Genomic DNA, 14,851 nt, shown 5'->3' with positions numbered 1-14,851 from the left:
CAGGAAACATGCTCTCGATGTGAATTGAGAAATACTTTCTGAGCGCAGTGCTCTAATATTCCTGAGTGTGTTCAGTTTCCGTGGATCAAATCTTTCCCATCTCTGCATCCAAGCTATTTGGCCATGATCAGATGATCAGAGCTCAAGGAAGTGATTGGAGAGTGAGCCGGCTGCAGCTGCAGTGTAGGCTGTTTTCAGGGACAAGGAGCCACTGTTTTGCAAACATAGCATCAACATAGAAGTTATTTTGTAGGCTCCAGGATGCAGCGATGGGCTGCACTGCCAGCATTGTTCTGCTTCAAGCTTTTCGTTCTGTGGTCCAGAGGAGCTGTCCACACATTTGTAGACGACGCCAAGAGGAACCATCCCACGAAATTTTGCCTCTGGAAAGTGACGATGAAATGAATAGACCCAGAACCCTCATCATAATGGTATGGTATCCGTGGTAAAGCAGCCTCAGTGGATTGAACTGTTATTATAGAGAGGTTACAATTTAGGGGTTTTGGTGTTTAGCGTTAGATAAAGGCATGTGTGACCTAGAGTTTACTACTCTGAAGTACTGTTTGGGGAAAATCTTTCGGAACTATTTCTATCATTCAAAGAGCATATTTTCTTCTTCTTGTATCTGTCATGAAACTGTACAGCTTCTCGGTCTACCAGAAATTCTCTTCTGCCTCATGGTTTGCATGTTGTTATTACCTTTTGTGCAGAAAATAAGAGAAAAATTTGGAGTTTGGTTTAAGTGAGTGGATTTTATTTTATAACTATAATTTGAAAGAAGAGCCCAAAATGGGCGTTTTTTAAAAATCACATGTAACCATTGAAGTTGTATAGATGCTGATAGTTGGATCTTTAACTTCAGGATATTTGGGGCTTTTCTTTCTGACTCTGCAAAGGAAATGCCTTTCCAGAATGCCTAACTTAGGCACAATATTAGAATAAAGAATTAAGAATTTTGTAGAATGCATAGTGTTTTCATTAGAAAGCTTTTTCTTGCCACTTGTCAAATTACATTTTTGTCTGTGCTTTAATTGTAATAAACAATGTTTTCCTTTTTTGTGCATCTGTTTGATCAGCAAGAATAAATTTGAGGGTAGAGTTCTTTCTTTCTTTAAGTTTAAAAAGAGATCTGCTTAGTCACTAAAATTAGAATAGATGGTATGGTAAAGTTTCCAAAATTGAGGAGACATTGAAGTCTAGGTGGCTTCAGCATAATCGACTTTTTTCTCTTAGATTTCAATGTTGAGATATCAAGGATGTAGTAAATAATGAATGAAAAATACCTGTTACTCTAAAAGTTCTTAAATGAAAGTCATTTGGCTTGGGCTATGCCTCTGAGTGACAGAATACTAAACTATAACATTACTTGCCTACTTCTTCAACAAATCAATATTTTATTTTCAAAAAGCAATATTATTCTTGAACTAGGGGGCTGTGATTATTTCTAAAAGGAAACAGTAAATAGGAATAATTTCATGTTTATTATTCCCATAAGTTTTCACAAATTAAATTTTAAAGGATTTGAAATAGGTTCAAATGTCAAAGAAATCTTTGTTTTCCAAGTTTAACTCTTGTTAATAACATTAACACACTCTTTAACTATGTGTAGTGCTCATGCTATACCAGTAAGTCTTATTTTTCTAATTTTGTTAGTCTATAAAATTTCACAGCTAGAAATTTGCAAAAAAAAACCTTATACCTCAAAATAACTGAGAAATTTTTAAAAACTATTCACCTAGTCATATTTTTCCAAGGATCCTTTTGATTTATATAATACCTTTATTGATATTAAATAAGGTGATAAGAATATACTAATGAGGAAAATAAAGGCTCAGAAAGGTTGAATATCTTAACATTACACAGCTGCTAAATACCAGTTCCCCGAATCACACTTAGAGCAATGATTCCAAAAGCCAGTGTATTTTCCAGTCTGTTCACACTTCTAAGGAAATAATGATAACCGATAAACTGAATTTATGTAAGAAGTCTGATGGAAATCTTGGACTACTCTGAGTAAAATGTGCTCATACAAAGTCATTGTGCATCTTGAAAATTTCTTCTGGGCCACTCCAAAATTCACACACTCGCTAATGGTTTATTGCCAGCCCACTATGGTCCAAGCACTGGTTCAGGCACTTGGAATCCGCCAATGAACAAACCCATCAAAAGTCCCTACCCCAAGTTGCAAAGTTTGAAGGTGATAGAACATTTTGCCAGTGTTGTTGTTATGGAAATGCTATACTACAATTGTGACACTTAGTCTACAAACTTTAGCCAATGAAAATATTTTCTGTTTTCCAAGATGGTGGTTTGAAAATTTATTGTATTTCAAAATCACCTAGGAGTTTTCATTCATGCAAATCCTTGAGCTCTTGACCCCAAAGACTCTGTTTGAGAAGGTGTGGAGTGGAGCTCAGGAACCTGCTCTTGTAGCAAGCACTCCCAGTTGATTCTGACGAAGGAGTACTTTGGATGACACTTTGAGAAACATGGCTCTGGAAGATGGTAATCTAAACTGTCCACCCCTTCTCCTCCTCCAGTGTGATGTTCTTATATTGGCTAATCGTCTTCTTACTCTGGCTCTAAACTTCTGAGCAAACTTTGATTTTTCTTTTTTATTCACTTTCCCACTGCCCATTAGTCACCAAGTATTGTATATTGATTTTTTTTTTTTATAAGATCACAGACTCTGGAGCCAGAACACCTAGGTTGGAATCCTGACTTCATCACTTATCAGCTGTGTGACCTTGGGCATGCTGTTTAACATCTCTGTGTCTCTTTTCCTCTCCTATAAAATGAGGATAGAAATTTTATCAAATTAGAGCAGTTGTATGGGTTTGATAAAGTAAGTGTTAAGTGCTTAGAAAAGTGCCGGGATGTAACGGTAAGACGTTCAATAGGGATGTGATCAGGGACATCCTAACTGAAAAGTGGCATTTGAGGAAAGACCCTAAGGAGTCAAGGGAATGACCCATGCCACTTTCAGCAGGGAAATGCCTTATGCAGAAGGACCCGCCAAGGCGAAAGGCCCTAATGTGGGAAGAAGCCTGGAGTGTTAGAAGAACAGAAAGGAGGCCAGTGTGTCCAGATGAGCCAAGGAGTGGGTCGTAGAAGGCAAGGTCAGGGAGGCAATGGGGTCAGATCATGTCAGGCACACAGCTATCAGGAAGACCTAGGCTTTTTCCAAGTGAGAAAGGAAGCCACTGGAAGAAGCAGGCCCAGAGGTTAAGAGCCTGGGCCATGGAGCCAGAATGTCAGGGTTTGAGTTGTATCTCTGCCACTCACTAGCTGTGTGATCTTGATGAATGACTTGTCCTCCTTGTGTCTTTGTGTCTTCATTGATAAAATGTAAAAAGTAACAGTACCTACCGGTGTAAGGTTATTGTGAGAATTCAGTATGTTAATAGGTGCAAATTGCTTAAAACACTGACTGGTAACTAGTGAGTGTTATATTAACTATAACCCCACTAACTGGGAGGTCCTGAAGCAGGGAAGTAACAGGATCTCTGGCCATAGAGGGTCAAGGGTCAAAGCAGGGAGACCATTAATTAGGAAGCGGTTGCAATGATCCCAAAGACCTGGATGGTAGTTGTTGAGGCTGTGAAAAGTAGTCAGATTCTGGATAGATTTCAAAAGTAGAACCAATAGAGTTTGCCTATGGATTGAATATAAAGTGTGGGAAAGGAAAAGGTGTCAGAGTTGACTGTGCTTGTTATGGCCTGAATATCCAGAAGAACCAAGTTGCCATTCAGATAAAGAACACAGAAGTGGAAAGTTTGGAGACAGAATCTAAGCTCACCCTAAGGATGCTGAGTTTGAAATCCCTGTTAGGTCTATAGATGGAGATGTCAAGTAGGAAGTTGCATATATGTCTGGAGTTTCAAGGAACTATATAAAGAGGAGTAAAGCCTAGCCCAATGTAAACATCAATAACCGATTGATAAATGATCTTTCTCTCTTCTAATCTCCTATAATATTTATAGTGTATAAATCCATTTGAAAGTTAATCACGCATTACCTTCTAACACATCTCTGCCTATTTACTTGAATGTATAATTGTTTATTTACTTGCTGATCACATATTTTTCTTATCTCACTGGTAGACAGGAAATTCCATCTACCAGAGCAATCGCTTCCTAATTAATGTTCTCCTTGCTTTGACCTTGACCCTCAAAGGCAGAAAGTAAGCCTACTTTTTTTTTTCCGAGACGGAGTCTTGCTCTATTGCCCAGGCTGGAGTGTGTTGGTGCAATCTCAGCTCACTGCAACCTCCGCTTCCAGGGTTCAAGCGATTCTTCTGCCTCAGCCTCCCAAGTAGCTGGGATTACAGGCACGTGCCACCACATCTGCTAATTTTTTGTATTTTTAATAGAGACGAGGTATCACCATGTGGGCCAGGCTGGTCTCGAACTCCTGACCTCGTGTTCCACTCGCCTCAGCCTCCCAAAGTGCTGGTATTACAGGCATGAGCCACCACACCTAGCCTCTAAGCTTCCTTCTTGCTCCATTAGTACCCAGCCCAAAGCCTTTTACATCGAAGCTAAATAGGGATCTGTTGATTATTTGATATTTTTAAGCAGTTGTCACTAATATGCAAAATTCAGTTGATAAAGATGCCCACTTAACTCTTAATTGAAATGTCCAAGAGTGAGTTAAGGATGAAGAAAGTTGCCAGGATAAATACAAGGCTTTGAATATTGATACCCTTCAGAAGGCTTTGGCATTCAAAACTTCATAATGGAAGTTGTATCAGAGTCTCATTCCTGTGGTCTAGGTTCTGAATCTTTGTGCAGAGATAAGATTTGGGCTGGCATAATTGTAGTCTAGCCTATATAGTCCAAAGTGGAGAGAAATTGCTAAATATCAAAATTAACTAATGTAGATTCTTATTTAAAAGAAACACATGAATCCTGACATCTGAGACCATTACAATGGCCTGTTACGATGCAGTCAAGTTTAACGGGGAAAAAATGAAGAAATTCCTTTAAAGCTTTAATTTTATCTCTCACTCAAAAAAACTTTTTGGTGGGAGAATTAACAGAAACTTTCATAATTTTTTTTTACTTCCTTTATAGCATATTTTCTTAAAGTTCTCAGACACTAATTCAATTTATGTAGATTTACTATTTTCTGGTTAATGTCTATTATTTCCTATGTCATTTACTCATCACCAACCCCAGAAGTTAGCTTCATTTTAAGTCTTTTTCTTTCCCCTTCCCCCGAAAGAGAATGTTTTTCTGTTCACACTTTGGAGTTTAGAGGTGGCACAAGAGGAGAAAGAAAAGCAAGTGTTGGTCAGGCTACTAGTCTCACTTTGGTTATATGACCAATACCCACACACCAGATTCACAGGTCTCAACTCAAAAGTGAAAAAAAACTTTAAAATCCATGAACATTCTGGGGTTTCTCTGAAATAGTAGAAACCATAACATTTAAATTTAGGACTGCCAAAGATCTAGCATATACAGCAAGCCAAATATGGCTTTGTCTTGAATTTTCGTCTAAGGCAGGAAATTAACAATAGCCTAAATTTGCGGTGAGTTGGGAAGGTGAAATCTCTTCTGTGAGTCAAGGATGTGTGCACTTATATGGCAAACATTTCTGAGTAAGGGAATTGCAGTTACTGCTCCAAGACCTCCCTGACAAGTCCTCTCTGTTGGTGCTTCAGAATTTGCTCGGTCCAGCACTCTGATTAACTATACAGTTTGTGGGTCAAAATCTGCCTGCAGCCATACAGTGCTTGAGCTAAGAATGATTTTCACAGTTTTAAATGTTACAAAACAAAACCAAAAACAAAAGAAGGAGGAAGAGGGTGGCATAGGGCAAAAGATACAGAGACCATATATGGCCCACCAAGCCTAAAGTATTCTGACCATTTACAGAAAATGCTTACTGACCCCTGTCTGGTGAATGACGTGGCCTCAACCACAAAGGAACCTTTTTTTTTTTTTTTTTAATTAACTTTGACCTCTACAGCGTATTTTCTGTTATCCCCGACAAGATACCAGGGAACTTGGTTTTTTCCCTGGGTACCTGTTGTTCACCTGAGGGTCTGAGAACTACTATGATTGAGAAACTCTAGATTTCAAGTCAGAGTCTCAAGTCTGTCACTTAATATTAATAAAAGCCCAGATAACCTAGACATGCTGACTCATTTCTCCTAGTTGGCTAAATGGGGACTATTATCTGTCCTGTCTGTTGGAAGCACCAGAATATTGACTTTTTAAATTATTATTATTTTACTTTAAGTTCTGGGATGCATGTGCAGAACGTGCAGGTTTGTTACACAGGTATACATGTGCCATGGTGGTTTGCTGCACCTATCAACCCATCATCTAGGTTTTAAGCCCTGCATGCATTAAGTGTTTTTCCTAATGCTCTCCCTCCCCTTTCCCCCCACCCCTCAACAGGCCCTGGTGTGTGATGTTCCCCTCCCTGTGTCCATGTGTTCTCATTGTTCAACTCCCACTTATGAGTGAGAACATGTGGTGTTTGGTTTTCTGTTCCTGTGACTTTCGTAGAATCACATTGTAAACTAATTCACATTATAAAGCGATGGAGTCTTGCAGGTCGGCAGGCTCACATGGCTTATAAGAAATCCACAGTATGCTGGTCAGAATTCATTGTATCCCCTGGGTAACTCACTCAGCAATATAGGGAGGTGATTTACATTAGGATTTCACTGTATTTGTTCCACACCCAAAAAAAGGTGGTACAGTGAACAAGAGAGGCCAGTGAGGGTGTTATCAAGCTTCTACTTGATTTGCTTTTTGACCTTCAGCAAATCCCCACATTCGGGTCCCCCACTTGTAGAAGACAATAATTCTTCTTTCCTGCTCAAGTACTTTGAGAACCTCATATAAGGAAGCAAGTTAAATGAAGGAAATGAATTATTTATGAAAACAGTAATTCCATATCTTTGGAACATACATTTGTTTAATTTGTGTCCTATGAATACAATCAGGACCAGAGAGGGACATACTATGGAAACTATGGAAACTACTCCAAAGGAAATAAATTGACTCTCTTCTTATCCCTATAGTAAATATTCTAACCTAACAAAGTTTTATTATCAAAGAATGTTAACATGTTTTGCCCAGTTTCATCTTTTTCAGTATATGTATGAAGAAGAAACAATTTCCAGAATCTCTAAATCCTGAGCTAATGTTTCTATTTCATTTCAGTGAGGTTGAATCTTGAATATATGAATATTATCAGATTCCCCTGGGAAAGAAAGCCTGTGTCATGGAGTATGAGTTTAAACAGTCTACCATAAATGGGTATAACATGGAGCTTTAAAGCACATAGAATCTTTGGAGGTATTTTCCCTTGTGAACTAATTTTGAGTTGCATCCCAAAGCCACAGAAAATGGACAAATGAATTGAATGGCTTCTCTCTGGGTATGAGAATTAATTGAATGTAATGAGAGCCTTAGTAATTAGCAACATAAATCTTCGAGGTAAAGGCTTACTAAACTCCAATTACGCCCTGTATCATCTTGTTCAGATAATCTTGCATCTTTTTAATTCTCCAAATTGTACCAAATTTAGAAATGATTAGAAGCAAAGAAAAAATACACAGTGTCTAAAAAGAAAAATCAAAACAGCTTAAAATCTAAAACCAACACAGTGATAAAGAAAATCGGAAAACCAAGTATCGGTGTGGTGATTGGGGGAGGTGATACATAGAAACTTATACCAAAAACAAAGCAAATTCAACTATATGTAGATAGAGCTATAGATAAATACATATCACACACACACGTATATATACTCATATATACGTGTGTGTATATGTTATATATAATATATATATATTATATATATAATATATATGATATATATAGAGAGAACATTATACCTTTAGTGGATGTACGTGTTTTGGGGGAAATCATACTGTGGAGATGAAAAACATCATATTACCAAGTAAAAACATGTAGTTTTATGGCTAGAAAAAGTATAGACTCCAACAAATTACTGCTAATAAAACGTCTGTTAATTTTTAAAACATAATCAAATATAGAAAAAAACTGGTATGCTTGTTTGGGGTTTTGTTTCTTTGCCTTCTAGAAGAGTAGTTTTTAGGATTTTCTCTAAACGCCAGGCTTCAATATAATAAAACTTTGTGAAAACTGAGTAATACAGTTGAGGATATAATGTGTCTTTTGGCAAACCAGATATAAATACAGTATTTTTGTCAGCCTTCAATAAGTTTCTTGTGGATAGCTGTTTTATTCTCAGATTTTATTTTCATGGAACTGATTTACTCTGATAGGGGCTAAAGCTTAGGGTTTTTGAAATTCATTTTTCCAAATCTATTTCATTCTGCTGGAACGTATTTTAGTTTTTAAGACCATGCCCAATACATTCAATTTGCATGCAGTGAGTTTGTCATGGTTAGATTGTCTAAACATCAGAAACTCAATAAACAACTGAGACAATTGCACCTTGCATTTGGTAGGCACAGATGACAATAGACTGCTGCTGCCCTGCACTTACAGTTTGGTGGCAGACACAGAGCTCAAACAAATGGAAAATTGTAATCATGATAAGTACTTCCCTGAGAATTGCATTCTACCTTACCTTAAAACTGCATCCTTTGGACATCGCACCTCCTCAAATCAGTCAGGGAAGGCCTCCCCTAAGGCAGTGGCAATGCAGCTGAGACCTGGAGAATAAATAGATGCTAAGAAGAAACAGAAAAACCTCTGTACCCAGAAACCACATGAGAAAATGCCACATGCCAGCCCTGATTTACATTGCATTGCCATGGGTGAGGAACCAGGGTGTGTGGGTCTGAGTCACTTGCCAAAGCACTTGCTGGCAGTGTGATCTCTGGGTCAGCTATTTAAATTCTGTATACCTTGGCTTCCCTGTCTGTAAAATGAGAGTCGTGAGGGTGCCTATCTGCCTTAGTTTCCTATTTCTGCTGTAATAAATGACCACGAACTTAGTTTTAAACAACACACATATTGTCTTACAGTTAAAACACGTGTATTACATTTCTGGAGATCAGAAATCTGAAACGGATCTCACTGGGCTAAAATTGGCAGAGCTGCATTCCTTTCTCGGGGTGCTAGGGGAGAATCTGTTTCCTTGCCTTTTCCAAGTTCTAGAGGCTGCCCACATTCCTTGGTTTGTGGTCCTGGTTCATCTTCAAAGCCAGAAGCATAGTGTCTTCCAGCGACTCTCCGACTCTGATCTCTGACTCTCCCACCTTCCTCTTTCACTCGTAAGGACCCCTGTGATTACATTGGCCCCACCTGGCTGATCCACGCTCCTCTCCCATCTCTAGGTTAGCTGATTCCCATCTACAGCCTGGATTACCCTCTGCTGTGTAAATGACATAGGCACAGGTTCTGGGGATTAGGACATGTACGTTGTTAAGGGGCTGTTGTTCTGCCTACCATACTATCTATCAGGGTTGTTTAAGGATTCACTGAGTGAATTCAAGTAAAGGGCCTGTAAGAGTGCCTGGCACTTGCTAAGAATTCACTAAGTTTTAGCTATTATTATTGTGTATATTGTCTTATTGAAACAAAGAAAAATTTACAAACTTAATTTACTTTAAAGAATTGTTATAGAAAAAAGAATCTGTTAAGCAGAAACTTACTTTGTGCTTCATAAAATGTGTAAAAATGGAAATTCAAAGTTAGCTTATTTATGAGAGCACTGAAATACTTATTGAATAGATTATTCACACAAATAGATTATTCAAAGAACATAAGTTTATTTGAGTTCTCTTCTGTGTTATCCACTAATTGCCAGTTTTCCGAAATTTAACTTTCAGTTTCTTCTGTTTTCCTTTCATCATTTATTAAAGGAATGTTGCAGCCTTTAATACAACTGAAATTAACCATTTAATTTCAACTTTGTCATTCTCAAATTGTGCCAAATTTAAAAATTATAAGGAACAAAAGCTTGAATGTTTAGGATTTAAAACCACCACAATCATAAAGAAAAGTCGAAAATCAGGTGAGAGAGAATGCATTTTAAGTTCAGTAGGTACAACTGAACTTACTAATTTAGAGATGGAGAATAGATTGTATCTCATTTGTAATTTTAAAGTTATCTCAGTGTTTTTAATTGTGAGTAGATTTTTTATTACAGATTTGTAATCATTAAGAAACTTAAGAATGCAAAATTACAGCATCTTGATTCTTCTACCAATAGGTACTCAATCAAAGGTTTGATGAATGAATGAATGCAAGCCATATCTTATGGGTCATAAAGGTAGAAAGTAGGAATCTGTTAGGTGGAAAGAATATGGATTCATTTGGTAGATTATCTGCATCCTTAATATTGGTCACTGGGTAATCAAGGGCCTTCTTTGCTTTCATACACTTTATGAGAACTGAGTAACCCACAGATTACCTTAAAATTCTGCTTTATGAATAATTGGAGGAAGTGAACATGGAAATAATGTCCAAAAATAATAGTTCTTTGCTGAGCACTTCCAATTCTGATAGTCACTTTGCTACAAACTTTGCACAGTATTCTTTATTTGTTGCCACAGTCCCTCTGAAGGATATTGTGATTTTTGTTCCAATATAGTTAAGGAAGAAATTAAAGCACACGGAGTAGCTCTGACCAATTGAAATATAACATAAGCCACATATGTAATTTTGAATTTTCTAGGGGCCATATTTGAAAAAGAAAAAAAGCATATTAAGTTAGTTTTAATAATATATTTTCTTTAAACCTATATATCCAAACTATTATTATGTTGGCATGTAATCAATATAAAAATTATTACAATACTTCATAGTTTTTTTCACGCCAAATCTTCAAAATGTGGTGTACATTTATACATATAACACATTTCAATTTGGATGCTAAATCTTTAATCACAAATATTTGTTCAGTATTCAGATTTCATAAAATTTATAGTTGAAAGAGTAAATTCATATTCCAAAGTTTCTCCAAAACTAGTTAAATGTTTTCCAGTTACTAGATAAAATAATCAATTCTTAAAGTTAAATCAAAGTTAAATAAAATTAAGTAAAATTAAAGATTTAGTTTCTTTGTCACACTAACCACCTTTCAAGGACTTCATAGCCACTTATGGCTAGTGGTGGCTGCATTGAACTATGAGGTGTAGCTATTACTGCATTTGTCCAAAGTCACCCATCCGGTGTGGCCCTAGGCAAATGTGTACCTGCCACCTTCCCTGCAAGCCCAGCCACACCCACCTCTTTCACTTCACACCCTGCTACAGTGCAACCGCGCCCATTCCTCCCATTCCACCCACCTCCTCTCCTCTCTTCACCTGCAATCTGGCCATGCCCACTTCTTTCACTCCACCCACCTCCCCTCCCCTCTTGCAACCCAACCACACCCTCTTCCCACTGCACCTTCCTGCCCTCCGTGTCTCTGTTGACTCAGGTCTGGGATCTCTTGCAGTGGCATTTTTCTGTTCAATATCCAATAATACAGTGGCATTATTCTGCTCAAATGGTACTTCTCTTTAAAAGTCAGGGTTTTTAATATAGATTATATAGAATAAAATGTTAGAAATTTGATATTATAGAATCCAGCTGCCTCACTGGAAGATGAAATCCAGGCCCAAACAGGTAAATTGACTTATCTGTAGCTTCTACAAAGTTGCTGGCAGAGCAAGGGTATTTGTTCAGGTCTCAAAATGATGAGACCCACATTCTTTTTAACTACATGGTATTTCCTCCTCTTAATCCAGAAATAATGAGCTATAGTTCCAAGGTATGTGCAGAATTTTAAGTGAAACTACATAGATGCTAGCTACAAAATACAAAGTAATGTCAATAGCATAGCAAATCCTATCCAGTTTCTGGTTATCTTAGAGGAATAAATCCATTTGGAGATGAAAGCCAATTCTGTCATAGGGATTCTTGCTCCAAACTAGTTTTTTGACTTTTCTTTAAGGATTAAATACAGAGATAATGAGTTCAAGTTAATCTGTAGAGTAAAGCTATGAGCAGAACAGATGCTGTGGAGATACAGAATGCAACTGTGGGGGCTCATGGGTCCCACGGCAGAGACAACAAAGAGAAAAAAAGGGAAAATCACTTTGTTGTAATCTCTTCGGATTGAAGGGTTTATAGAATTCTATTTTGGGAACAGACATCTATCTCTGTCATGTTGCAGAAGTCTGAATCCGGAAATGTCGTGCTAGAACAGAAACAGAATCATATAATGACAAAATCTGGGTATTGATATCAGGCTTGTTGTGCCTTTTGAGAACTGTAGGACTTCGGATAATTCCCTGAGTTCCCTGAGCCTCAGTGTCCTTATTTGCAGCATGGTGGGGATTCCTCACAAAGCTGTTGGTGATGATCTAAATGAAAACTGAGTAAAAACACTGATCACAGTGCCTGGATCACTGAGGGACTGCACCTCTTTTTAATCTGTAAAATGAGGAAAATACCTGCTGCCCACCTGCATCATAGAAATTTAAGTAATTACTTCTACAAGTAGAAACATACTGTTTATTAGATTGGATTAATTCTGGGGAGACGTTTTGACACACATGACTACCCTTCAGTTCTCCACTAATAAGGAAACTAGAATATTAAATAGAACACTCATCAGGTGAACAGAGTTGCTCAAAAAGACGACTCAGTGAAAAAGCCAGTGAACCCAATGATATTCCCCAAATGAAAGCCACTGGGGGAAATGAGTGAGCCAAAAGGCAGAGAAAGGGATCAAGGACAAGGAGAGATGTAGACAAGGAAGAGGCTCCTCGAGCAGGGAAAGAAATTAAGCATGAAACTAAAGTGGCCTGTGGTTGTTAAAGGGGACTGTTTAAAGGTTTGCTTTAAAACCGGCCTGCTTTTCTGTCACTCTAAAGGTGACACTTCAGTCTGTGTCATCCTCCACTCTGGTTTTTATTTCCTTAAAGATGTTGGTTCTTTCATAGTGGCCATCCTATTTTGTCTCATTTTTGCCCATGCTGTTGAAAAGAATGCTGATGGGTTTCAAGTTAAAGATTACATGCATCTATTTCTTCCTTTTAGCTCTGAAAATTGAGTGAAGCATAGCAAATCTGTGATTAATAGAACTGGGGTAGTATCACATCTTCAGGGGCTGGCATGATGGGCATCGGAGGCTTTTGTTTTGACCTCCAGGCAAATGAACCAGTGAACAGCCCTGGAGGACTCATTTGCAAAGAAGTGGGGAATAAAAAGTCTCATCACAAATTCGTCTTCTTTTTGCACAACTATAACAAAAAGAAATGATGAACCATATATGTGTTCATCACAAAACCGTAAGGACCTTTGGAATCACCCAAGTTCACCTACAGAAGCTTTTCAGATCTGTTCTTAGAAGATGTTCGCTACAGATGTGGTTAAGGTCATTAAAGAACACCAAGACGTTAGATGACTTTCTTAAGGGTGGAGATTGAAAGGAGAAACGTTAGGATTGTGGAGTGATATCATCACTGAGTGAGTTAAAAAGTAACCAGAGAAATCTGGTACCCCCATTTGAGAGGACTGCTGCTGCTTCACACAAGTGCACATTTTTAACACTTCCTTGGCAAAAGCCAGGAGCCTAATTTCAAACTGAGACCGCCAAAAAGTAGAAAAAAAATCACAGCTGAACAGCTTTGCCCTGGGGTTCCGCAGAAGACACTGTGCCTCTCTGCAGCCCTCCTTATTTCCTGGATTTGGCAAGCCCTACATTGAGTTCACCTTCCCAATCTTCTGCCTCTGTTTGGTTGAAGTGTAGGGGGTAGTTCTAAGTGTGTGTCTGTCTGTGGCTCTGTTTGAGTTACAGTCAGTTAAAGAGACGTTCACACCTTGTGTTGCCTTTAAACATTCAGCCCTATTCATATCCATAGATGCACTATAAATGTTTGCATGTGCACATACCATGTAGCTATGTAGCTGGATAAAGACTCGTTTATGATGTTACATCCATTAACCTGGTAACCAGATTTTTAAATTGACCTTGTATGTATGGAAAAATAATCTAGTATCTTAGTCAGTTAGGACTGAATCTGTCATTTTAGAATCTTGGGAAGGTAAAAGCAGTAAGGATTTGAAATTATTGTTATAGAATTCATAAATTTTAGCAGCTGTCTCATTTGATCGCTCACCTTCTAGCAGTAAATATCAAATTATCACCATTTTACACAGAATTCCAAATCCCAAATACTCAATACCAAGTGGATTAAAAGCAGCTATGTGCCAAAGGGCAGTCATTGAAGTGGGAAATTAGGGAGAGGGGCTGGGGAGGTTGCAGGAGATGAGAACTGTTGTGTGGGGTTGAGCTTCCTCAGGCCCCACACCTGCCCTGCCTGGGATTGTCTTTTTCCTTGATTCATATTTCCTGTGGTTTTATGAATCAAAAGTTTAAACTATTCTTAGTTCCGGGAGGTCATTTTCTGGCGCTCTTTTTAAAATACCACATGGGAATTATTTCGGTCAGCAAAAATACTGAACATACCATTTTCTGTTAGCTCTCTCCTTGCCATGTTTGTTTCACACATACTTGATTTCTCAGCAAGTGCTCCCTTTTACGATCATAATCATGGCTTAAATTTAACATTGTTTTTTTCTCCAAATGGTTATCTTACTCTATGTTCAAAAGTTTAGATTTAGAGGACTCAGTTCAAAATTCAGCTCGTGATTTCCATTTAGATGTTTTCCCAAAATACATAATGAATAAGTATCAGAAAACTGCAGTTGCAGAAGTATAAAAAATCAAGACAGAGTAAAGCCTCTCCATTTTTTCTTTTTATATATTTTTAAATTGTAAAAGAAGTATATACTATGAGAAAAATATAAATACTGCATACCAGTATAAAATAAAAATTGAAAACATTTGAGGTCATTTTTTTAAAACTTCTTCCCTATAGTCCCACACTCCTCTC

The 14,851-nt window shown here is 37.8% G+C and overlaps 1 protein-coding gene across 18 annotated transcripts in view; it reads left to right on the top strand.

The window, feature by feature from the left end:
* The window catches only part of DOCK10 (dedicator of cytokinesis 10), a 277,379-nt gene that overhangs the window by 59,831 nt on the left and 202,697 nt on the right, over positions 1 to 14,851 (top strand). For 12 of the 18 annotated variants that reach the window (XM_047444928.1, XM_047444927.1, XM_047444926.1 and 9 more), the window contains exon 1: positions 211 to 431. The exons of the other annotated variants lie outside the window; for them this stretch is intronic. In XM_047444928.1, the coding sequence (XP_047300884.1) occupies positions 270 to 431 (162 nt within the window). In that variant the 5' untranslated portion in view covers positions 211 to 269. Of the gene's footprint in view, positions 1 to 210; positions 432 to 14,851 lie in introns of those variants that run through there. 18 annotated transcript variants of the gene reach the window in all.

The sequence above is a fragment of the Homo sapiens genome, chromosome 2 (genome assembly GCF_000001405.40).
Source record: "Homo sapiens chromosome 2, GRCh38.p14 Primary Assembly".
NCBI lineage: Eukaryota > Metazoa > Chordata > Mammalia > Primates > Hominidae > Homo > Homo sapiens.
This window is presented reverse-complemented; position numbering and strand designations above follow the sequence as displayed.